The sequence below is a fragment of the Homo sapiens genome, chromosome 4 (assembly GCF_000001405.40).
Source record: "Homo sapiens chromosome 4, GRCh38.p14 Primary Assembly".
Classification (NCBI taxonomy): Eukaryota; Metazoa; Chordata; class Mammalia; order Primates; family Hominidae; genus Homo; species Homo sapiens.
This window is the reverse complement of record NC_000004.12, coordinates 55,819,272-55,845,365: the sequence shown is the minus strand read 5'-3', so window position 1 is coordinate 55,845,365 and position 26,094 is coordinate 55,819,272. Positions and strand designations below refer to the sequence as shown.

At 37.0% G+C, this 26,094-nt stretch overlaps 1 protein-coding gene and 1 long non-coding RNA gene across 4 annotated transcripts, besides 2 other annotated features; one reads left to right on the top strand and one right to left on the bottom strand.

The window, feature by feature from the left end:
• Positions 2,632-3,265: an enhancer, noted in NCBI's record as "H3K27ac-H3K4me1 hESC enhancer chr4:56708267-56708900 (GRCh37/hg19 assembly coordinates)". NCBI's record gives its function as "activates a minimal SCP1, AML or CMV promoter by ChIP-STARR-seq in primed H9 embryonic stem cells {active_cell/tissue: H9 hESC(primed)}" and the evidence as "EXISTENCE:reporter gene assay evidence [ECO:0000049][PMID:30033119]".
• Positions 3,266-3,899: an enhancer, noted in NCBI's record as "H3K27ac-H3K4me1 hESC enhancer chr4:56707633-56708266 (GRCh37/hg19 assembly coordinates)". NCBI's record gives its function as "activates a minimal SCP1, AML or CMV promoter by ChIP-STARR-seq in primed H9 embryonic stem cells {active_cell/tissue: H9 hESC(primed)}" and the evidence as "EXISTENCE:reporter gene assay evidence [ECO:0000049][PMID:30033119]".
• Positions 7,877-25,576, bottom strand: EXOC1L (exocyst complex component 1 like). 3 transcript variants are annotated; one of them, NM_001351574.3, is made up of 3 exons: positions 25,219-25,576; positions 13,902-14,032; positions 7,877-8,281 (listed from the first exon to the last, which is right to left on the bottom strand). In NM_001351574.3, the coding sequence occupies exons 1-3, from the start codon at positions 25,337-25,339 to the stop codon at positions 8,015-8,017; spliced, it is 519 nt and encodes a 172-aa protein (NP_001338503.1). In that variant the 5' UTR covers positions 25,340-25,576; the 3' UTR covers positions 7,877-8,014. The 3 variants fall into 3 exon arrangements, with proteins under 3 accessions (NP_001338503.1, NP_001338504.1, XP_024309953.1); NM_001351575.3 differs by having other exon boundaries at positions 25,239-25,576; XM_024454185.2 differs by lacking the exon at positions 25,219-25,576 and adding an exon at positions 20,002-20,220.
• LOC105377661 (uncharacterized) lies at positions 20,349-24,313 on the top strand. Its single transcript, XR_941062.2, has 3 exons — positions 20,349-20,442; positions 22,616-22,731; positions 24,240-24,313. It is a non-coding gene; the product is annotated as an uncharacterized LOC105377661 (long non-coding RNA).
• Positions 25,577-26,094: the final 518 nt, after the last annotated feature.

Sequence of the window (26,094 nt, the reverse complement as noted above, 5' to 3'; positions counted from 1 at the left end):
AGGATTCCCTCTTTTTCTATTGATTGGAATAGTTTGAGAGGGAATGGTACCAGTTCCTCCTTGTACCTCTGGTAGAATTCGGCTGTGAATCCATCTGGTCCTGGACTCTTTTTGGTTGGTAAGCTATTGATTATTGCCACAATTTCAGAGCCTGTTATTGGTCTATTAAGAGATTCAACTTTTTCCTGGTTTAGTCTTGGGAGGGTGTATGTGTCGAGGAATTTATCCATTTCTTCTAGATTTTCTAGTTTATTTGTGTAGAGGTGTTTGTAGTATTCTCTGATGGTAGTTTGTATTTTTGTGGGATCGGTGGTGATATCCCTTTTATCATTTTTTATTGCGTCTATTTGATTCTTCCCTCTTTTCTTCTTTATTAGTCTTGCTAGCGGTCTATCAATTTTGTTGATCCTTTCAAAAAACCAGCTCCCGGATTCATTGATTTTTTGAAGGGTTTTTTTGTCTCTATTTCCTTCAGTTCTGCTCTGATTTTAGTTATTTCTTGCCTTCTGCTAGCTTTTGAATGTGTTTGCTCTTGCTTTTCTAGTTCTTTTAATTGTGATGTTAGGGTGTCAATTTTGGATCTTTCCTGCTTTCTCTTGTGGGCATTTAGTGCTATAAATTTCCCTCTACACACTGCTTTGAATGTGTTCCAGAGATTCTGGTATATTGTGTCTTTGTTCTCATTGGTTTCAAAGAACATCTTGATGTCTGCCTTCATTTTGTTATGTACCTAGTAGTCATTCAGGAGCAGGTTGTTCAGTTTCCATATAGTTGAGCGGTTTTGAGTGAGTTTCTTAATCCTGAGTTCTAGTTTGATTGCACTGTGGTCTGAGAGACAGTTTGTTATAATTTCTGTTCTTTTACATTTGCTGAGGAGAGCTTTACTTCCAACTATGTGGTCAATTTTGGAATAGGTGTGGTGTGGTGCTGAAAAAAATGTATATTCTGTTGATTTGGGGTGGAGAGTTCTGTAGATGTCTATTAGGTTTGCTTGGTGCAGAGCTGAGTTCAGTTCCTGAGTATCTTTGTTAACTTTCTGTCTCGTTGATCTGTCTAATGTTGGCAGTGGGGTGTTAAAGTCTCCCATTATTATTGTGTGGGAGTCTAAGTTTCTTTGTAGGTCACTCAGGACTTGCTTTATGAATCAGGGTGCTCCTGTATTGGGTGCATATATATTTAGGATAGTTAGCTCTTCTTGTTGAATTGATCCCTTTACCATTATGTAATGGCCTTCTTTGTCTCTTTTGATCTTTGTTGGTTTAAAGTCTGTTTTATCAGAGACCAGGATTGCAACCCCTGCCTTTTTTTGTTTTCCATTTGCTTGGTAGATCTTCCTCCATCGTTTTATTTTGAGCCTATGTGTGTCTCTGCACGTGAGATGGGTTTCCTGAATACAGCACACTGATGGGTCTTGACTCTTTATCCAGTTTGCCAGTCTGTGTCTTTTAATTGGAGCATTTAGTCCATTGACATTTAAAGTTAATATTTTTATGTGTGAATTTGATCCTGTCATTTTGATGTTAGCTGGTTATTTTGCTCATTAGTTGATTCAGTTTCTTCCTAGCCTCGATGGTCTTTACAATTTGGCATGATTTTGCAGCGGCTGGTACCGGTTGTTCCTTTCCATGTTTAGTGCTTCCTTCAGGAGCTCTTGTAGGGCAGGCCTGGTGGTGACAAAATCTCTCAGCATTTGCTTGTCTATAAAGGATTTTATTTCTTTTTCACTTATGAAGCTTAGTTTGGCTGGATATGAAATTCTGGGTTGAAAATTCTTTTCTTTAAGAATGTTGAATATTGGCCCCCACTCTCTTCTGGCTTATAGAGTTTCTGCTGAGAGATCCGCTGTTAGTCTGATGGGCTTCCCTTTGTAGGTAACCTGACCTTTCTCTCAGGCTGCCCTTAACATTTTTTCCTTCATTTCAACTTTGGTGAATCTGACAATTATGTGTCTTGGAGTTGCTCTTCTCGAGGATTATCTTTGTGGCATTCTCTGTATTTCCTGAATTTGAATGTTGGCCTGCCTTGCTAGATTGGGGAAGTTCTCCTGGATAATATCCTGCAGAGTGTTTTCCAACTTGGTTCCATTCTCCCCGTCACTTTCAGGTACACCAATCAGACGTAGATTTGGTCTTTTCATATAGTCCCATATTTCTTGGAGGCTTTGCTCATTTCTTTTTATTCTTTTTTCTCTAAACTTCCCTTCTCACTTCATTTCATTCATTTCATCTTCCATCACTGATACCCTTTCTTCCAGTTGATCGCATCAGCTCCTGAGGCTTCTGCATTCTTCATGTAGTTCTCGAGCCTTGGTTTTCAGCTCCATCAGCTCCTTTAAGCACTTCTCTGTATTGGCTATTCTAGCTATACATTTGTCTAAATTTTTTTCAAAGTTTTCAACTTCTTTGCCTTTAGTTTGAATTTCCTCCTGTAGCTCGGAGTAGTTTGATCATCTGAAGCCTTCTTCTCTCAACTCATCAAAGTCATTCTCCATCCAGCTTTGTTGCGTTGCTGGTGAGGAACTGCGTTCCTTTGGAGGAGGAGAGGCACTCTGCTTTTTAGACTTTCTAGTTTTTCTGCTCTGTTTTTTCCCCATCTTTGTGGTTTTATCTACTTTTGGTCTTTGATGATTGTGACGTACAGATGGGTTTTTGGTGTGGATGTCCTTTCTGTTTGTTAGTTTCCCTTCTAACAGACAGGACCCTCAGCTGCAGGTCTGTTGGAGTTTGCTAGAGGTCCACTCCAGACCCTGTTTGCCTGGGTAACAGCAGCGGTGGCTGCAGAACAGCTGATTTTTGTGAACCGCGAATGCTGCTGCCTGATCGTTCCTCTGGAAGTTTTGTCTCAGAGGAGTACCCGGCCGTGTGAGGTGTCAGTCTGCCCCTACTCGGGGGTGCCTCCCAGTTAGGCTGCTCGGGGGTCAGGGGTCAGGAACCCACTTGAGGAGGCAGTCTGCCCGTTCTCAGATCTCCAGCTGCGTGCTGGGAGAACCACTGCTCTCTTCCAAGCTGTCAGACAGGGACATTTAAGTCTGCAGAGGTTACTGCTGTCTTTTTGTTTGTCTGTGCCCTGCCCCCAGAGGTGGAGCCTACAGAGGCAGGCAGGCCTCCTTGAGCTGTGGTGGGCTCCACCCAGTTCGAGCTTCCTGGCTGCTTTGTTTACCTAAGCAAGCCTGGGCAATGGCGGGCCCCCCTCCCCCAGCCTCGCTGCCGCCTTGCAATTTGATCTCAGACTGCTGTGCTAGCAATCAGTGAGACTCCGTGGGCATAGGACCCTCCGAGCCAGGTGTGGGATATAATCTCCTGGTTCGCCGTTTATTAGCCCGTCGGAAAAGCGCAGTATTAGGGCGGGAGTGACCCGATTTTCCAGGTGCCGTCTGTCACCCCTTTCTTTGACTAGGAAAGGGAACTCCCTGACACCTTGCACTTCCTGAGTGAGGCAATGCCTCGCCCTGCTTTGGCTCAGGCACGGTGCACTGCACCCACTGTCCTGTGCCCACTGTCTGGCACTCCCTAGTAAGATGAACCCGGTACCACAGATGGAAATGCAGAAATCACCCGTCTTCTGCATCGCTCACGCAGGGAGCTGTAGACCGGAGCTGTTCCTATGTGGCCATCTTGGCTGCTTCCCCTTTATAAAAATTATATGTCAAAAATTAAATACGTATATCTTGAGTGCCTCCTGTATATAATCCAAAGGTGAATGAGATACTATCTTTATTCTCTTTATAAAGACATCACTCTAATATAGGAAGTGGTCACTTTTGTTAATCACAGTCTGAACTTTTCCCCTAAGAAGCAAACACATGAACTATATGGATAGGTTTTTATTCACTGGAGAGGGCAGTGAAAGACTTGGCATAGGATATATGAGATTTTTTTTTTTAGCACATCATCATTTTCACTCCCTGCTTTGATCAAAAGTTGTTTTTACCTCTTGCCCTCTTTGTTAATTCTCAACAATATGGACAATTCTCAACACAACTAGATACTAGATGACTTGTTTTCAGGGAATAAGATTAAACTAACTCATTTTTCCACATTTTGATGCTGTCTATAAAATGATGGCCTTTATATTTTAGCTCCTTCATAGGAAATAAACTTGAATAGATCTTTACTTTTTTATTTTGAAAATAAATAAATAAATAAAGGCCTTACAGAACAACTGCAAAGATAGTACAGAGAACTCCTACACACACACTTGTCACCCAGCTTCCCCCACAGCTAACATCTCACATAACTATGGTACAATGATCAAAACTAAGAAATTAACCTCAGTATAATACCACTAACTAAATTATAGACCTTATCAGATTTCACCAGCTTCTTCACCCATATTTTTTTTTTCTGCTTCAGGATCCAATCTAGCAATCTACATTGTACATCGTTTTCATGTCTCCTTAAACTTCCTTCCAATCTGTGCATCAGGGTTATGGACTGAATTGTGTTTCATCACCTCCAATTCACACGTTGAAATCTTACCCTCCAATGCCTCAGAATGTGACCTTAATTGGAGATAGGGTCTTTATACAGGTAATCAAGTTAAAATGAGGTCAATAGAGTGGTAATCTAATACTAATCCAATATGACTGGTATCCTCATAAAAAGGGAAATTTGTACAAAAACATAAAGGAAGATGATGTGAAGAGAAAGAGATGATGGCCATCTACAAGCTCAAGAGAGAGGCCAGGAACAGATCCTTCCCTCACAGTTCTCACAAGGAACAAGCCCTGCAGCCCCTTAATTTTGGGCTTCTGAACTCCAGAGCTGTGAGACAAGAAATTTCTGTCATTTAAGTCACTTGGTTTGTGATAGTTGGTTATGGCAGCCCTAGCAAACAAATACACTCAGTTCTTCCTTGTCTTTCCTGACCTTGACACTTTCGAAGAGTGGTAGCTTGTAGAATGTCCCTAAATTTGGGTATGCCTGATATTGTCTCATGGCTAGACTAGGGTTATGGATTTGGGAGGAATATCAGAGGTGATGTGCCTTTCTTAGTGCCTCATATCTGGTGGCATGTAATATTGTTATGTCCCCATACTGGAATGTTATCCTTGACCCCTGGTTAAGATGATGTCTAGCAGATGTCTACTATTGCAAACTTACATTTTTTTTTATTTTTAGTCAACAAATATGTTAGGGGAGACACTTTGAGGCTATTAAAACTTTCCATCTCTACCTAAACTTTTACCCACTAATTTAAACATTAATTTGTTGGTCACGTCTGCAGCAATTACTCCCATGTTTATTTATTTATTTATTTAAGAGACAGAGTCTCACTCTGTTGCCCAGGCTGGAGTGCAGTGGTGCCATCATAGCTCACTGCACCCTCCACTTCCTGGGCTCCTGCCTCAGCCTCCTGAGTAATGGGGATTACAGGAGCATGTCACTGTGCCTGGCTAATTTTTAATTTTTTTCTAGAGTCAAGGTCTTGCCACATTGCCCGGGCTGGTCTTGAATTTCCTGGGTCTCAAGCAATCTTCCCACCACGGCTTCCCAAAGCACTGGCCAAAATTGTATATATTTATGGGGTACAACATGATATTTTTAAATATGTATACATTGTACAATGGGTAAATCAAGCTAAATCTATTCTCTTAAGCAATTTTCAAGTAAACAATATGTAATTATTAACAGTAGTTACCATAATATATAATACAATAGATCTCTTGAACTTGTTTCACCTGTCTAACTGACATTTTATATCCTTTGAACAGTATCTCCATAATCCCTCTAACCCTCCCAACCCCCTAGCCGCTGGTAACCACTACCCTACTCACCTATGAAATCTACTTTTTTGGATTCCACATGTAAATGAGATCATATTGTATTTATCTTTCTGGACCTGGCTTATTTCACTTCATATAATGTCTTCCAGGGTTATTCATGTTGTCACAAATGACAAGATTTTCTTCTTTTTAAAGACCACTTTTTCTCCTTTTAATAGCCTTAGATATAATTATAGATTATAGATCTAGGTTATATAATTATGTAGATACTGATATAATTCACATATCATACAAATTTACCATGTAAGGTGTACAGTTCAATGGTTTTTGGCTTATTACATTATTTTTTTTTAAACTTGTGGTTATATATAACATTAAATTTGCTAATTTACCACTTTAAATGTCCAATTCAGTGAGTGGGATTAATTACATTCACAAGATTGTATAACCATCACCATTTTCAAAACTGTTTCATCACCCCAAACAGAAACTGATAAGGAATAACTCTGTAACAGATAAGCAATAACTCTCCATTCTTCTGTCCTCCCAGTTCCTGTAAATCTTTAATCTACTTCTGTCTCTGAATTTGCCTATTCTAGATATTTCATATAAGGAGAGTTATACAATATATATACTGTTGTGTCTGGCTTATTTTACCTAGAATAATGTTTTCAAGGTTCATTCATACTGTAGCACATATCAGAACTTCATTTCTTTTTAAGGTAGAATAATATTCCATTGTTTGGCTGTACCACTTTTTTTGTCTATTCATTCATTTTTGATGGACACTTGAGTCGTTTCCACCTTTTGGCTGTTGTAAATAATGCCACAGTGTACACTGATGTACAGATATCTATTCAAGTCCCTGTTTCCATTTTGTGTGTGTGTGTATGTATACCTAGGAGTAGAACTGCTGGGTCATATGTTAATTCTCTATTTAGCTTTTGGAGACACTGCCAAACTCTTTTCCATAGTGGCTGCACCATTTTACATTCCCACCAGCAATGTATGATGGTTCCAATTCTCCACACTCTTGCCAATACTTATTCCCTCCCACCCCTGCCATTTTTAAAATGATAGTCATTCTTAGTGGCATCTAAGTGGTATTGTCAGTGCTATGGTATCTCTTTGTGGTTTTGATTTGCGTTTTTCTCTTGACTAATGATATTAAACATCTTTTCCTGTGATTATTGGCCATTTGTCTATCTTCTTTGCAGAAATGTCTATTCAAGCTCTTGCCCATTTTTAAATTGCTTTGCTTGTCTTTTTGTTATTGTCTTTTTGTTATTGAGCTGTAGAATATATTTATATAGTTTGGATATTAAAGCTTTATAAAATATATGATTTGTAAATATTCTCTCCCATTTTGTAGGTTTATTTTTTACTTTTTGATAATGTCCTTTGATGCAAAAAGATTTTAATTTTAATAAAGTCCAATTTATCTCTTTTTTTTGCTCGTGCTTTTGATGTCACAAAAACCCATTGCCCATTTACCTCTATGTTTTGTTCTTGTTTTATGTTTTTAGTTAATTTTTGTATATGGTGTGAGGTAGGGGTCCAGCTTAATTCTTTTATATGTAGATATACAGTCATCCCAGGACAATTTGTTGAAGAGATTATTCTTTCCTTTTTGAATGGACTTGGCACCCTTGTCAAAAATCAGTTGACCATAAATGTGTGAGTTTATTTCTGAACTCTCAATTCTATTCCATTGGTTTATAGGTTTTTCCTTATATAGGTACCACACTGTTTTGATTACTATAGCTTTAATAATAAGTTTTGAAATCAAGAAGTGTGAGTTCTCCAACTTTGTACTTCTTTTTCTTTATCTACTTGGGACCCCTTGAAATTCCATATGAATTTTGAGGATCAACTTTTCCATTTCTGCAACAAAGGCTGTTGGAAATTTCATAGTAATTGCATTGAATCTGCTGATCACTTTTGGTAGTATTGACATCTTGAAGATATTAAGTCTTCTTATCCATGAACACAAGGTGTTTTTCCACATACTTAGATCTTTTATGGTTTTTCTTCACACTCTTTAGGAGAATACTAATTTAGTCAAAACCACCCAGTTCCTACCAAAGTTACCAAGGATCACATTGGCAAGAAGTCTTCAATGTTGAATGATTACATTAAAATGCATTTCACTGCAATTCACAAAGCATTACTTTATTTTTATTTAAATTATAATAATCACTGATGAAGGAAAAACAAAATTATGACAATCAATATTTACTTGGGAAACCATTTTCATAGGTCACTGATGAAGGAATGTGGTACACAGCTTCAGAGTGGCAAGGGACATAGGGACAAGCACACAAGATTGAAAGCGTAAAAGCATATTCTCATAAGGACCAAACAATCCTTATTGTTGGAGGACCAAATGGAATCATCGTTAATGTATGTAGAATCAAAGTTCACGATCTGTAAGTCCTTTTTAAGATATGCATGATTCAGCTTATTTACAGTTCGAGCAAAGGCATATTTAGAAGCACAGCTATATGCTTCCAAACTGTACACTTTCTTGAAGTGCAGATCAAAAAATGGATTGTCCTGGAAGAGAATGAGAGACATGATTTAGTTGGTAGCCAAGAAAGTAGTTAGGTTTCCTGGATTCTCTCATATTCTCTTGGATATGTTTATTGATTGTAAAGTATCAGTATCAAACATATTTCTAAAATCTACAAATGGGCTTTCCAAAGCTACCTACTTCAAAGTAATTGCTTCTAAAAATCAACAATAAGAAAGGTTATTTTTGAAGCATCTATGTTTTTTCAATTAGACAAATAAAATGTGCCTCAGACTGTGTGGTTATTAAGTCTTCTCAATGTAATGAATTGGAGAGGATGAGTAGGGAATAAATAAATAAAGCAGAGAATAAACTCACAGACTTCTGGAAAACAGAAAAGGTTCCTCTCCCTTTTTAGTACGAGGTTGGTTCCTTGTGCTATTTCAAGGTAGAAGGAAGAAATACATGATAGCTAGCCATTGGCATGCTACAGATCACCAATTTGCTGTCTTTGAAGTTTACAGCAAGGAATTACTTTTGAAGGTAATAGCAAGGACGATCAAATCATTTGACTGAAACTGACAAATTTACTAAAGACTGCCTCTAGGCTCTTACTATATCTGTAGCAGAAATGTTTCAAGAAAAAGTGGAAACCAAACCTGATCTAGGTCCTACATGTTAAAATAATAATTGTTACTGTTAATAGCAGTAACAATGATGCCTTGCATTTAAAAAGTTTACAAAATGCTTTCACATTCATTATCTGCCTAACTCCTAACTCTTCTTTAAGACAGATATTTCGCATTATTTATCATCATGTTCTTAGTACTTATGCGTGATGACTACTAATTTCTCAACAAATGTGTGTTGAACTGACCTGAAGTAGTCCTAAGAAAGGAGAAGTGGAGGCAAACATTGCCCTAAATAACAAATAGGCAGAGGACTCAACCAAACAGGAGTATTAATAATTCACCAGCATGTAGTATGTAACATCACATACAGGCAACTTACATATTTGCAATTTGTTTTTTAAATAGGAAAATTCTTGCAGGAGGCAGGAAATAGAGGATGAATTTTAAAGTTAGACAACATTTTGATTGTTCCATGGGCAAAATGCTTATCTGATCTGACTCTCATTTTTCTCCTTATTTTAGATAGTGCTGCTGTGAAATTTACATGCGAATAATCATGTAAACGAGCGTGGAGCTTAATAAATGATAGTTCCTAAAGATTGTGATATTACCATTTAAAAAGTTAAAAACAAAACATAATCATGCTTTTACTTCTGCACAGCAAAAGAAATAATCAGCAGAGTAAACAGACAACCCACAGAGTGGGAGAAAATCTTTGCAATGTATACATCCAAGAAAGGACTAATATCCAGAATCTACAAGGAACTCAAACAAGTCATCAAGAAAAAAACAAACAATTTGATCAAGAAGTGGGCTAAGGACATGAATAGGCAATTCTTAAAAGAAGATATACAAATGGCCAACAAACATGAAAAAATGCTCAATATCACTAATGATCAGAGAAATGCAAATAAAAACCACTATGCAATACCACCTTACTCCTGCAAGAATGATCATAATCAAAAAATCAAAAAATAGTAGATGTTGGCATGGATGTGGTGAAAAGGGAACACTTTTACACTGCTGGTGGGAATGTAAACTAGCACAACCACTATGGAAAAGAAGGGGGAGATTCCTTAAAGAACTAAAAGTAGAACTACCATTTGATCCAGCAATCCAACTCCTGGGTTTCTACCCAGATGGAAAGAAGTCGTTATATTAAAAAGATACTTACACATGCATGTTTATAGTAGCACAATTTGCAATTGCAAAAATATGGAACCAGCCCAAATGCCCATCAACCAACAAGTGGATAAAGAAATAATAATATATATAACATATATTATGATTTATATAATATATATATCATGGAATACTACTCAGCCATAAAAAGGAATGAAATAATGTCATTTACAGCAACCTGGATGGAATTGGAGACCATTATTCTAAGAGAAGTAACTCAGGAATGGAAAACCAAACATCATATATTCTCACTCATAAGTGGGAGTTAAGTTATGCGTATGCAAAAGCATAAGAATGACACAATGGACTTTGGGGACTCAAGGAAAGGGTAGGATGAGCAGTGAGGGATAAAAGACTACACATTGGGTACAGTTACACTGCTTGGGTGATGGGTGCATCAAAATCTCAGAAATCACCACTAAATAACTTACTCATGTAACCAGACACCACCTGCTTCTCAAAAACCTATTGAAATAAAAAGATATAAATAAAATAAAAATTAAAAAAACCATAATCATACTTAAAAAATGTATAAAGGTGGTGTGGTTTTTAAGCGCAGCACTTTTATAGTCACATTCACAATTTTTTTTTTTTCTGGCGCTCATAACTACAGCTTGAAAGACAGTTCTGCCAAGAATCTCCATAAAGGGAAAGCACATCCATTGCATCACCAGATACCAATCATGCTCCTTAGGGAGTTTTCTCTTGCAAACATTTGCTCCTCATCAGGTAGAAAATACCCCTCATGCCTTTGAGATAATTGCAACAGAGCAATATTTTCCTTTAGCGTAATAATTGGAGCCTGAGTATGCATGCACATAGGATACAAATCTGCCTGTCTCTTTCTCTCTCTTTTTTGATAGAATGCTAGAACTAAAAGGGATCTCAGGAATCATTTATTGATATGTTTTTAGCTGGGATAACACAGTAGTTTCCAGAGATATGAAGTCCAGGTCACACATTTAGTTATTGGCAGAGCCAGGACAAAACCCAAGATCTCAATCAGCACAAGCTCAATTTTTGCTACATCATCCTGTCTCCTGTTGCACCAGTCTCCAAATCCCCAGTCATTTTGATTTCTGCTTTATAAATTGACTTCAATTTCAATTCCATTACATTTTAAAGTTGACAACTTTTTGGCTCAAAATTGCTCTCTATAAAACTGTATCATTGGTATTGATATGTAAATGTAAAACATGTAATAATGTAAATTATTACATTTATGTAAATTAAATGCAATCATGTAAATGTAAAAAATGTAATAAATGCTGACCCCCAAGGATTTGATTTTAAAAAAGAGAAGTAGAAATTCCCAGAACAGTCAGGGTATTTTTACTTCATCTATAGAAAATAAACCTTGCAAGAACTACTCTTTAGATATTATGGTTTTTCTTCTGGCAATTGAGTATTTTAGGTCTTAAAGTGATGAGAAAACCAGAAATACTCAACCTATATTTTGTATCTTGTTCACTATGAAAGATAATAATCTTCAAATTGGAAAGGGAAAAGGGAAGAATCAACAATGTTGGGATGGAATTAAAGGCCATCAAAAGTGAGGAAAAAATAGAGCACAGTTAGTTGATTTGAAATGAATCTAAATTGACAGTCCTGGTGAATATAATCCTAGGCATTGAGCAAACTTGTAAAAATCAATGATAACATCGGTAATATTTGAGAGCTGGAGAAAAAAGACAAGAAAAATGGGTCAAAGATTGGTGGGAATAGTTAATTTGTGGGGCTAGTTCCTGAAACTACAGATTAGTGAACTTGACCTGCACTTCTGATCAAATTAAATGCAGTATTATAGAAATTTGACAAGTACAGAAAAATATAAAATAGAAAATAATAATTAAAAAATTTGTAATCTTATCACAGAGGTAACTTATTAAAGTACTGGTTTGTTTTACTTATACATGTATATACATATATACATATACTGACATATTTTTTGTAAAAACATTAAGATTCATATTTCAATAACATGACAAACTAAATATGCAAAATTGATGTAATATTTTAGAAAAGTTTTATATTTAGCTGATTTTTAGAAAACTTGTTAAGTGGCTGAACAATTGTGTTCTGAGATATTCTTTTGGAAGCATATTTTATAATGGCTGTATAATATTCTATCATATAAATATGTAATAATATATTTAACCATTTCCTAAGCATCAAACATTTAGGTAGAACATATTGTCAAAAAGGTGTTACATGAATATTTAGGAAACACAGCAATGAAATCCAGCATTCTTTTGCCAAGAAGTCATGTCAAACACACCAACTTTTTTAAAAAGGTTTTTAAGTTGAAAAATCCAGGTAATAGCAGATAGTATATGTTGATTTTAGTAAATGACAAATTTTAGATATTCAGATTAGATGAATAATTAAGGCAGAGATAAGTGCTTTTGGCTAATTCTCTACTGTATCCTCAGAGCCTAGTGGGGCCTGGTATACAATAAATTCTCAATAAATGAATGAAGGAATAAATGAATATATGAATTTGTAGAGGCTTTCAACAACCAATCCAAAGAAGGCAAATTAATAGATTTCTGGGTAAAGTCTAGCTCTACCACTTAATAGCTATGTCACCTTGGGCAAGTCAATCTCTTTAAGTCTCACTTTCTTCATGTGTAAAATGGAATAATAGAATCTAATTCAAGAGGTTTTATGGTGATTATGTAAAAATATACATGAAAGGAGCTTAGCTTGGTTTCTGGCACCTCATAAGAGTTTACTGAATATTGTTGGTAGCAAGTAACAGTACTACTAGCAGTAGTAATGGTAACCATCAATGATCTAGAGGTACATACTTGGCCCTGCCTGCCTCATCAATTTTATTATTGACTTGGATGAAGTCCTCAATGTTGTGCTCATTAAATCTGAATCATACTATAGTGATATTAAAAAATAACGATATTAGAAGATTTTAAAGGTTGGAACAATAGGCCAAATGAAGACTATGGCATTTATTAAGATTAAGAATAAATGAACTTAAAGTTCTAATTCATTCAACAATAACACTACAAAGACTTATTGAGTGCCTATCATCTATCAGCCTATGATAAAGGATGAAAACCATGGACCTAATTTTTAAGGAGCTTTCCGTCTAGAGGGAATTCAGAGTAACCCAACAATTGCAGTTTGTAGGATTATGGTTATAATACATTTCCACCCATGCCATAATGAGTGTATGAGGGCAGAGAGTCAATAGGACTTTACTCAATGGGAAATCTGGGTAACAGTTAAAGGTAATTGGGCATTTGAAGCCTCAGGAGCCAGTACTTGAGCATTGTGGAGGTAGAAAGTTCAAGGGGGAAGGGTTCTCCATCAACAGCAGAGTTCAAAAACAGACTGTGAAAATCACTTGTCAGGGGTCAAGTGGTGAGATTGTAGTATTTACTCTTTCTCCACTTTCAACTCTAAGATTATAGGATTTCCATCCTTCTAGAGGATAAAGTGGGCTTGCTGATGGTAAAATTTGAAGATGAGGGAAGAAATCCCCTAAATTTATAGAGGAAATTGTGGTGGGGAGAAAGTGATGGTAGAAGCATCATATATTTGGAAAAGTGGCATTTAAATTTTCAGGATTGACTGGTAGATTGTGTTTAACCTGTTAAATGGCCCTTGGGAAAGGTGCTTTTAAATTTAATAGACAAAATTTCACTTGAAACTCATAAAAACAGAATAAAAAAACCAGTACATCATCCCAGTAGATTAAACTATGCCACTTACGAACAATATAATGTCATCTTAACACTTAGTACATGCCAAGAATATATGAAGCAGGATATTGAACATAAAGATCTCCAGCATATTGATTCCACATCTCCTTATAAAATGTAACACTTACAGTATCTGCTTCTTTTCCATCAATCATCTGCAGATCGTTCAAAGACCACTTTTTTGTTACTTCATATTTTTCATCTAAACCTATTCTGTAGTGTTTCACCATGACTATTTTTACTTCTTCCTTTTTGGTCACTGTAGGACAGAAAAATACTTAGTTTACATAAATTCTTAGAAGCTAATAAATTATTCAAGTCATACTTTTTGGTATTTATGTATCCCCTTTTAATAAAATGACCTTGAACCCACATTATAGCTGCGCCTCAATTGTGAGTCCTGATGTATCTGAATCTTCACAGTATGCCCCCAAATTTGCTCAACGTATTAACTTTATTTTTGCTACAGTTGTGCTTACATACTGCCACAGTAATGTCTGTTAAATAGAACATTGAGCTATGTGCTTTGAGCTCTGAGCATTGTGGTAGAGAATAGGGTTCATCTTGGGGCAGGAAATAAGAGGCTTAGCCTTAGCATACAGTCAGTGCCAAGTGTTTATCAGAACACGTTGGAATTTTAATTTATGACAATATAAGCAAATGAGGTCATGGAAGTAAACAGTACTGCTTTACAGCAACACAGTGTTGAAGAGTAAGTGACCAAGCAAATACCGCAGTAACTGTGGACACTTGCCTTTAAATTCACTCTGAGACTTACAATGTAGAAATGCTTGCATCACAGCTATTGTTAACCCGCTTGGTATTGCTCGAGATTGTAATCCTCTCAAGTGTGTCTCTCAAATTCTAGTATTCAAAATGTGCTATTTGCACAAAAGCTTTTAGTACTATACTTTGAAAGATATGGGAAAATTTTTGCTTATTTTGTGGGAACAAAATGAGGGAAATGCTTTTTTTGTCTTAAAATCATTTGGTCTTATATACACACATCAGAAGAATCAATATTTGAGCATAGAGCTCTTAAGTTGAAAATTATCAATGAGTTATTATAATAAAGGAGTATTTACTGAGTATTTGCTACTTGCATGATAGAACTGTAATAGATGCCGCAGGGGATACAAGTAAAAGACATGGTCCCTGCCCTCTAAAAATTTATGGTTTCACTGGGGAGACAAGGCTAACACACATGTCACATACAATAACATATTATAAAGAGGTGGCAGGTGGGGATCGAATGCCTAAGATTTCCCTTCAAGATGAGTAATGTTACTTAGAGAGTTGCAAGCTGGTTCTGTCTTCTAAGAGTGACTCTCCCTTGGTTCTGGAAAGCATCACTTTGACATGCTCTCCTAGCGCTGTAGACATGAAACAATATATCACAGTATAATCATAGTGAAAGATAAGTAATGTGGAGCAGACTACATGTTCAATAGGAGTTCTGAGAAGGGAAAGGATCGGAGTAGTTAAGGCAGGAATTACAAATGAAATAGAATTTGAGATGGGGCTTAAATTTTGAAAAGACAGGGGTCATACTGCAGACATTTCTAGGTGAAGGGCAGCATGTGGAGATGCATCAGCAATAGAAGTTAACGTCACCAGGTAGAATCAAAGAAAGTGGACTGCATGGGTTGGTTGATGTTAAGACATGTGGGCAGTAGGATTCACTAGGTACAGAAGGTTGTGAAAATGTTTTGAAAGACTCTGGATTTGAAATGCAACAGAAACCACTTTGGACCTGTGTCTGAATTCTCTTTTCTGGATGGAGTGATGTGAGGCTGACCTACTATAGTAAGGGCTCTAGAATTGGGTCTAGCAAAGGGAGCATCCATTGCCTGATGGTGCCAGTGATACTAAAATCAAGACAGCCAGTTGAGCTGAGAGTTGATGACAGAGCTCAGTCCTCGGGAGAAGGGAGTGGAAGCAGTCTGACAAATCTCAGAAGAAGGCACTGTGTCGGGTGTTCAGCAAAAGCTCTTATAGCAACACCTGTTCGTTGAGTCTCCCTCCTTTGGTAGCAAAAGACTAATAAAATGGTACTCTATTAAAGAAGAATTTTTCTGGCAGCAGTTATGTACAGGATACATGGAAGAAGAAATGAAAGAGGAACTGGAGGACCCTGGAAAATGCAATGCAGCTTAATGAGTTCTGGCACTGGACATTCTGGAGTTAAATCATGACACCACCTCTCAACAGTGTGGTCTAAGTAAATGATTTAATCTCTAGAGAGATTAAACCTCACTTTTCTTATGTTGTAAAATAGACATCAGAATGATCCAAATTCATAGGGTGTAAAGACTAAAGTAGACAAAATATATAAAGAACTTAGGATAGTGCCTGGTTTACAGTAACTGTTAAAAATGTTTTGTTTTGTTTTGTTTGTTTTAAGAGGCTGTTGTAGTAACCTGGGCATGGGATGTGGGTCATGGATAAAGACGTGGAAAATCCAAGTAAGATTTAAAATAGCACTGGATGGAAACAACACTGGATGAAAACCAAACACTGAATACAAACCCAAATAGGAAAGTAGAGAGGGTGAGTTGGTTGGGTGGAAAAATGAGTTTTGTTTTTGACACACAGTTGAAGTAGCCACAAATTATCTCAAAAGAGAATGAGATGGAAGTTTTGTAGTTTAGGAATGGAGATACTTGGGTTTTTTCCTGTGGAAAGGTTTCCAAGGCCAGTTTTTTGTTGTCGTCATTTGTTTGTTTGTTTGTTTGTTTGTTTTTCATTTTGAAAGAGGGTCTCACTCTGTTACCCAAGCTGGAGTACAGTGGCATGATCATGGCTCACTGCAGCCTCAACCTCCTGGGCTCAAGCATACTTCCACCTCAGCCTCCTGAGTAGCTGGGACTACAGGAATGCACCACTATGCCTGGCTAATTTTTTTTATCTTTTTTGTAGAGACGGGTCTCACTGTATTACCCAGTGATAGTGATAGTGGTCTCAAACTCCTGGCCTCAAGCCATGCTCCTGCCTCGGCCTCTCAAAATGTTGGGATTATAGGTGAGAGTCACCATGCCTGGCCCCCAAACCACATTTGTAGAGAAAAGAGCAGAGGAAAGAGGTGAGAGAAAGTGAGAAGAAAAATAGATGCCAGGAAAGACGTCTGAGAAGGGGTCTGAGAGACAGGCCCAGCTGTGTAATGCTATGGGAATCAAGAGGATGGTGAAGTTTAAAGGTTTGGAGACAATCCCGTTAAGTCCCTTTATTAGGTAAGGCAGAGTTCAGCCCTAGCACTGAATCTGACTTGGAAGAAGATCGTGAATTTCCTCCATGAGGGCAGTTTCTCTAGAATGCTGAGGGCAGAAGACAACTTGCAGAGGACTCCTTCATGCACTAACACTATTTGAGTGCACATTGTGTGCCAGCCTCAAGGTTAGGTAGGATTTACAAAGGTAATAGGAAGGAAGACTAAAGGCTATGATGGAGATCACATATTCCAGGAGTTTGGAAGAGGAGGGATTATACGTTTTGGAGGCAGAGAGAGTGACTAAGGCACATCTTCTGGAGAGGACCTCAAGCAGAAGATCTTAACTTGGGGTCAATGAGCTAGTTTAGAGTCTGTGATCCCTCTGACAGTGTACCAAAGTTGGTGGGCTTCTGCCCACCTATCCTTCTCTAGCACTAAAAAGTTTCCGTCTCCACTGGTGTAGATGTTAGTCTTGGGAAGACGAAAGGATTAAAAGTGAAGCTGTTAGGCAGAGGTGGTGAAGTGGAGGCACACTTGAATCTGTCATGCTTACTAAGGACAAGATCTTGGAGACATTTTCCTCCACCAGGAGGCAGTTGTATGCCCAGAAAGAAGCTGTACCCCAGAACCAAAGGACTATGTTCTTGCTCCAGCTAGATGTCTCACATGGTGCTTAGGGGGTGGGAGAGAATGGGGTTGGGGAGGTATGAAAAATGTAATTTTCATGGAGCAAATTCCACTGCCTCATCTACATGTTATGAAAAGCATGTTATGGTCATTTGTAGGCCACACATTCATCTCATTAAATTGATAAATATTCGAGTGCCCTTTTTGTACCAAGCACTGTGTTAGGAATTGAAAACATTAAATCTCATAAGGCATCATTCCTGCTGTCACTGAGATTGTAGGGAGTGGGGTCTTCAGAAAGAAAACCTGTGCTTACAGTTCTGCAAATAAGAAATAGACAAAGTAATTGAGGAACGTGGAGGAAGGATGTCTTCATCCAAGTGGGGGTCTGGGAGAGCTTCCTGAGAGAGGTAACCTGAGTTGTAAATGGCAGTAGAAGTTAGCAGAATGAAGATGGGTAAAGGTAGTTCTAGAAAAGCATTCACACAAAGGCATGAAATACTTGACACTTTTAAGTCATTAAAAGCATCTGGTATTGCTGGCATGAGGTGTGAGGGTGGACAGGTGGCAGGGAACAAGTTAGGCAAGACTAGTTCCTGAGGGGTCTAGAATACCAGGCTGAGAAGATCAAAGGTTATTCTGAAAGCCATGCATTTCTCTGTATAAGAGAGAGAAGTTGTCACTGAAGGATTTAAAGTGAATGGACAGACTGAGCTTTTAAGGTTCAGAAACTTATTTTGTGATCTTCCATAAAGGATAGGTTGGAGGTGGGGAATGGAGAGAAGAGACATGAAGAAGGTGAGTCCTACGAGTCATCACATTTTCTTACATTAATGGTCACTGTCCCATTAACACCAAACTAAGAAAGTAAAAGAGCATTCTTTAAAAGTTAACCTTTTGACAAAACAGCTTCCTTTATAGCTAAGGAGTCTCCAAGAATTGTCTTTAGCCACAAGCCAAAGAAGTCTACTTAGCCTGGAGTCAACCCAATCCCTAATTTCCACACTTCAGCTTTGCTGCCAGCTAAAATTAAATGGCCGTATCCACATTAATGCAGTGGCAAAGTGGAAACCTATCACATTGTCTTAAAACAGAAATGTGTTTATATAATCAAAATGTTAGAGAGTTGTTTTCAGTAACATCAGAGTTTCCATTATCAAACTATGATTTAGTGAGCATATCTGTAGACTCAGGGAATTTCAGAGTTAATCTGTTCCAGTTTTAATTTTAGTCAGCATTTTCAGAATTATAATTTTAACTTCATGCCAATCATTTATTTTCACTTTAAATTTTAAAATAAACTTTGTCATTAATAAATGCCTCTATTACCATGGTAAAATAGTCACTATTATTCATGAGGCTAAATGGAAGAAACATTGCCCGATTGATCCAATATAATTTGGCAGAATAGAAAAAAACAGTAGCTCACAAGTAAGTTGCACAGAATGCTTTAAAGAAACAACTCTTCTTTTACATCCTATTGTTTTACAATTGTTTTCATCATTTAAGTTAAATAATGGAGAGAAATTACTATGAGATATTGAAGAAAAGCAGCATCAGTGAAATGTTACAACATATATGGTCCTGTCTTGGGTCACTGAGAAGACTACCATTACTTTCATCAAAAGAGTAATTTTCTTTTTTTCTTTTCTTTCTTTTTTTTTTTTTTTTTGAGATGGAGTTTCGCTCTTGTCGCCCAGGCTGGAGTGCAACAGCACAATCTCGACTCACTGCAACCTCCGCCTCCTGGGTTCAAGCGATTCTCCTGCCTCAGCCTCCTGAGTAGCTGGGATTACAGGCGCCTACCACCATGCCCAGCTAATTTTTGTATTTTTAGTAGAGACAGAGTTTCACCATGTTGGCCAGGCTCGTCTCAAACTCCTGACCTCAGGTGATCTGGATGCTCACCTCGACCTCCCAAAGTGCTGGGATTAGAAGTGTGAGCCACCATGCCTGGCCAAAAGAGTAATTTTCAAATAATATTTTTCTTTAGAAATATTTTTTAAAATCAAATTTTGGGCTACACTGAGTGTCTTTAAAATGAAAAAGATTGGTTATAAGCAAGTAAGGACATGAGTTGCTGATGTTTTTACAGAACGGGAGATAGAATGAAAGAGAAGGAAAGTGATTTTGTGGGAATAGAAGCACCAAGAGAGAAGGGACATCCAATGAGGCATATGCAAGGTTTGGCTTTATGAGCTCCAATCTAGCATTTCTCAGTACCCCTACTAAAAGTAATATTGCATAGTAATTTGGCACAAGTGGACCTGGATTTAAAGCCTCCATTAGTCACTTATCAGCTGATTATCTTGGGCAAGTTATTTAGCTACTGTATGCTTCAATTTTATCATGCCTAGATGTGGCAAATAAGATAAAATATGTGAAGGACTTACCATAGTGCCGGGCAAATGTGTTAAGAAAAGCATCTACTCTTACTGGTTAGAAGCAATATGGTAAAGTCGAAAAAAACCTGGGTTTTAGAATCAGATTTATGACCTGTGGGCCTTGGACTAGGTACTTAACTTCTTGTGACCTATGGTTTCCTCGTCTGTAAAACAGGAATTTTATCTATCACATAAGCTGGTTGTGAAGATTAAAAGGAATAAAGCATATAAATGGTACTAAATGGACTTGTGCCTGACACTCAGCAGGCATGCCTTACAGCTATCCCTTTTATTGCATCATCAATAATGCCATGCTAATAATGAAAAATTTTAAATACTTCCCCCCTTCAAAGCTCTGAAATCAAGCTCCTATTCATTCTACAAATGATGCAAATGGCTTGGAGTTTAGAATTGGCAGATCATCTTGATTTCCACATTTAGATCTCCAAGGTAATAGATTAGCCACTGGGAAAATCTGTCTCGTAAGTTACTGACTGATGATGGTGATGTGGGTTGTTCATTTTAGAGATAATGATAATATCCCTACTCTAAAATCCAAGCTACCGGCCCTTTTAGAACTAAATGCTAAGTCACAATAAACGCAAGGTAACAAGAGGACTCAAATGGGAGCTTCATCATTTCCATATTGTAACCTTCACCTACAATTACCCTGATTTGGAGAGTCAGAATATTTTATTTAAATTCCTGCATAGGGCTGGGTGTGGTGGCTCATGCTTGTAATCCCAGCACTTTGGGAGGCTGAGGCAGGATGGCTGGATGCCAGGAGTTCGAGACCAGCCTGGGCAATATAGCGAGACCCCATCTCTACAAAAACACTAATAAATTAGCCAGGCATAGTGGCGCATGACTGTAGTCCCAGCTACTCAGGAGGCTGAGGTGGGAGAATCACCTGAGCCCCAGAGGTTGAGGCTGCAGTGAGCCAAGATCAGGCCACTGCACTCCAGCCTGGGTGTCAAAGTGAGACCTTGCCTCAAAAAATAAAATTAAATTAAATTTAAATAAATTCCTCCATAGAGACATTTAGTGATATTCCACAAATGCATTTTGTGTTTGTGTGTGTGTGTGTGTGTGTGTGTGTGAGAGAGAGAGAGAGAGAGACTTGAAAAAAATATAGAGTCTTGAACAAAAATAATAAAGTGTTTTTTTCTACCTTTAGAAGACAAAGAGCAAGAATTTTAAAGTATAAAATCTACTTTAATATTCAAGGTCTGTTCCCCATTTGACAATTGTGATTGTAATTAATTGTTACAATCAGTAACAATTAGTAAGTTTTGGGAATTTTATGATATATGTATTTTATTTTTTAATAAAATGTATCTCTTGGAAATCAATCCTATATTTCTTCTTTTCATTATTTTTTAACGTAGAGAATAATAAACACCATCAAATTAGAATTTCTTCAAGTGTGTTCTCTTTTTGAGCACAAGATTTCTGTGTTGTCGCAGAACCAAATCTATTCATATTTATTAAAGGAAGTATTATAGGTCATAAAAGGGAAGATATTAAATTATTACGTAGCAAAACAACCTTGACAGGAGAATCCTTGAGCCCAGGAGGCGGAGATTGCAGTGAGCCGAAATCGTGACACTGCACTCCAGCCTGGGTGACAGAGCAAGACTCCGTCTCAAACAAACAAACGAACAAACAAACAAACAAACAAAAAACAGCCTTGAGTAAAACTGCAACTTGAAAAAGAATATACACATAAACTATGTTTGGCTCTATAATCAGAACATATGCATAGCTGTTTGGATATATTTTGGCCTGCATAATTGTTATTCTACTGCTGCTAATAACATCTTTAATTATATGAAAATTTTTTAAAACATTAGTCCATGTTTAATTCTTCAAAACACTATGTATTAGGATAGTTTGTTCTCAATTCACAGCTGAAAAATTAAACTAACCTCTTCCAGACAATACTATCATCTCCTGAAATGACAACTTAAAGAAAGAAATTCTTTAGATTGTGCTCTCTGTTGTTAAGATATTGGGAATTCACAAATGTAGCAGCAGTGGTCCCAAATGAAGTCTTTAAAATTGTTTTTAGCAACCTCCTTTTCTCATTAACTCATTCTTATTTAACAATCTTATTGTTAACATTCTTATTGTAAATGATTATTAGATTCTTTGATTCACAGAGAAGTTCTGGTATGGCTTAAAAAAACAATATGTATAGAGAATTTATGCATATTATTTTTATAATTCTAGCAAATGCCATTTATTTTCAGATTAATAGCTATGAATGGAAGATGTTTTTCTAGAAATATGAGAATACTGAAAAATAATCAACATCTGAATATACATATAATTTTAAATTAACATAATATACAATATATCAATTTTTAATTTTATATTAAATATACACACATGTTTACTATTTTGTTTTTACTATAAATATGTATTTATAGTATATACATATATACACATATATTTCAGCATATTTTTAATGATAAATTATTTTTTCTGTATATCTGAAAATTATAACCTTAATTTAATTCTATTTATTTAGAATACAGTGTATCACATTTGGTTTTATCCTAGTAAGAATTTAACAGGGGAGCACTGTGGGCAGATATAAGTGTTTTTATTTCTGTTTCAGAGATGTCACCACTGAGGCCAAAGAGCCTACTTATCTCGCCCCAGATTTCACAGCTGGTGGGTGGCAAAGCAGCACCAGGTTTCACACCAAGTTTGCCTGATTCCAAGTGTGTGAAGGTCTGTTCCACTATGCCCTGTTACTTTCCATCCAGTTTTGGCTAATGCTTTAATATGCTATGTCAAGTCCTTCAGCATTTCTTTAATTCATGTGCACTCTCACAATTGCACATGTGACTTATTCCTTTCTAGTGCCAGCACATAATAGAGCTCCTCCCTGCTTCATAAGAAGATGCTACTTTTAACTTCCAGTGATAATGTTCTAGGTAGGGGACGCTAGTTCCAGGGAGAAATGACCATGCAAACCCTAAGGTGGGAGTGGGCTGCGGTCCCAGGAAATCCCCCATGTACATCCTAGCAAACCAGAAAGGGAAATTGAGTTTTTGACATTTAATTTTGACATCAACCAGGTAAATATCAAGATTTAACAGTAAGTCATAATCCTTTGGCTGCAAGACCCCTGCAAAAGAGAGACTCTGGTCATATAAAGAGAAAGCTTAACCATATTTAAACATATTTTTGTTAATTTTAAAAATACATGATGGAATTTGACTACACTGGACTCGCAAGTCTCACAAATTTAGAAGCGCTAGATTGTAGGGAATAAAGAGGAAATCATAATGTGACTCTACTCCCTGAAGGTGGCCATCGTTCAAAGTATGGAGTTTCACATCTCAACAATTACGATGTGATCTCTTTGATTCATTACCAATGGAAATTGTCTGAGTCAAGCATGGTCAAAGCCAAGACTATTCAAGCAACACGCTGACTTATTTTAAATTACTGTTCCAGCAAAATGTATTTTTAATTGCCATAAAAAGGTGTTACATTTGGAGAAAGTGCTCTCAAATTGATGATGTGATGTAGAAGAGAGTAGTGAAAAGTTAGTGAACTGACATGGCTTATAAAGTTAACTTGTATCTAGAATAGCACAATATTGTCTTCTCTTCCTCATCTCTGAGATCTTGTTTTTTCCTTGTTTCTTACATGACAGAATTATTGAATTATTTCCAAACATTTAAATCTAGGAGACTTTTTTTTCATGTCAGATAGAACAAGTCTAGTTAATTACATAATTTGGAGGGAGAAACTAAGATATATTTGGTAAGTTAGATATATAAATTATTGTGATTATTTAATTTTTCATGTTTTTCTTTAAAAATATGTGTATACTAATGTTACCAATGAGAAATCAGCTTTATAAAGTGGAAATTACAACAAATACAAAATTATTACATTTTAATGTTGGAATAAGCATCTTCTCTAATATATTCAGTAAAAATATTTTAAGACACAGTGATTTGATGGCTAGGATACAATATAGTTTCTTACTTATATTGTTTTTAATTGACTTTCTAAAATACTTAATTTCTTTTTCCTGGGCCAATTAATTTTTTTATGTCGCTAGAATACCCTCTATACTTTGTAGTCATATAGCAAAATATGCTAAAGTGTCAGATAAATATTTCTAATGTTATTATTGGGTAAATATTACTATATTTATTAGAAATGACAGAATTCTAAAAATTCTTGGCATGTTCTTTAAAGACATTCTATTTCCCTTACAGCACTCCCTCCTGACAACTTTGAAAGGCCTTCTAAGTCAATTACCAGAAAGGGAATTATAAGAAGTTGTTTTCTGAAAATAGGTGTGTTCCTTAGATAGGCAAGTCCACGATGAACACAAAGTTTCTAAGCTCTTTTCTCCTAAACGCCTGAAAAGTATTAAAAGGCATGGACCAAGAAAAGGGAATACTGTATATTCTGTTCAATAATGGCATGAGCACTCCTGTCTAAATTCAGCACAGAAATCACAGGTTAGGCAAATCATAATTAAGTGCAAAAGCCTGTTCCTAGCTTTGGACAATTTTTATGAATTTTGGAAACATGAGGGTAAAAATCTTTATTTTAGTTAAACAGTTTGGAGGACATCCTCTTATCCTTAAAGTTCCATTTTCATGAACTAGTTTCACCATTAAGGTATTGTTTTTGTGAGCACACTTCCTATAAGAGAAAGAAGTTTTAAAATATAATTTCTGTCTTCAAATAAACCACAAGAAGTCTAAAGCCCTCAGAAGAAAATCTAAGGCTTTGTTTTTTTCCTAGGATGAAAAGGGAGAATGCCAGTGTTCCAGACGAGTTGCAAATGGTGCTGTATAACTCAATTCTCCAATGTATTTAAAAGTATACAGAGAGCTCTCTGTTGCATTTTTAAAAATGAGCTCTTGCACAATAAAATTGCATGCCATGCAAATGAATTAAACAAACGATTGGAGACAAAATAATCAAATCAGGAGAAGGACACATCAGTTTCATTTCTCCACAATTAACCAAAGTATTCTAATACAATGTTTTTTTCTTTCATTTTTAACACTCTAAAAAATTCTGTAGAACCCAAATTCTTAAACCTGGCATAGTTAAGTTCTTATCAGAAGAAGGTACACGTGCTATATAGGAAAATAAATACAAAAAAAAAAAATTCCCTCTATCATCCAAGCATCTTTGGGTGACTTGCTTTTTGAAATGATAACAGAAGGAACAGATTACCTGACACACAGAGGTAATACCTGTCCTGGACGGAGAACTCTATTTCAATAAACTCGTACAGATTCTGCGAGAGTGGCTTAAACAGTTTCTTCTCCAAGTCCTCCTTTACCAATGATGACATTTCCTCCAGTTCCACTTGGCCTGATGTCTTGGCTCAAGCTCACTCTTTCCTCTCCTTTTGCTCCCTAGATTTCTCGTTTGGGTTTGCAGCTCCTTGGTGAGTCCTGCCCACCTCTCAGCCCTCCCTCTCTTAACTTCTCATTCCTAGCCAGAGCCCAGATTCCCGAGAGCACTCAGCGCGGTCAGACCCCTCACTGCGGTATCTGCCCAGTGGCAGCAGCGGCGGCGGCAGCCAAAATACAGCAGCCTCACTAGCCCCACCGTCAGTCTTCCGCGACCAGCCTCAAGCAGGCTGCTCTCTGGAGCTCCTCTGTGGCTTGCTGGTAGGGAAACATATTTACGACCACCGACTGATACTCATAGATCTACTTGTGGAGTCCCCTGGCTATTCCAGTCTTGGTAGCCTCTTCCCCTTTCACAACACTATGCAAAGACCACGATTTCAGCTTGATGCCATTATATAAATCAGCTGTCTGGCTCTATTGATTGGGATCATCTTCCATTAAGAACTTTTCTATCATCGGCAAGAGAAAAGACATTTGTGCTTGCTCCTAACACTTCCAACAAGTCTCTTTCCCTCCCTTCCTTCGCCTCCTGATCTTTGCTTCCATGACAGTCTGCACCAATTCCTGGGTCTAAATTATTTTTAAAATGGAAATTTTTAATGGGCTCAATTTAATAGTATTTATGCCTCCACTCACAAAAATGTATTAGCCACCTACTAGGGGAAAGCATAGAAATTAGGAGGGTGAATTT

Coding starts and splice junctions, on each gene's coding strand:
- EXOC1L (NM_001351574.3), bottom strand. CDS start 25,339: ATGTCATCATTGGTAAAGGAGGACTTGGAGAAGAAACTGTTTAAGCCA. Junction 14,033..25,218: donor GTATTACCTCTGTGTGTCAG/GTAATCTGTTCC, acceptor TCTGTCCTACAG/TGACCAAAAAGGAAGAAGTA. Junction 8,282..13,901: donor ATGGAAAAGAAGCAGATACT/GTAAGTGTTACA, acceptor ATTCTCTTCCAG/GACAATCCATTTTTTGATCT.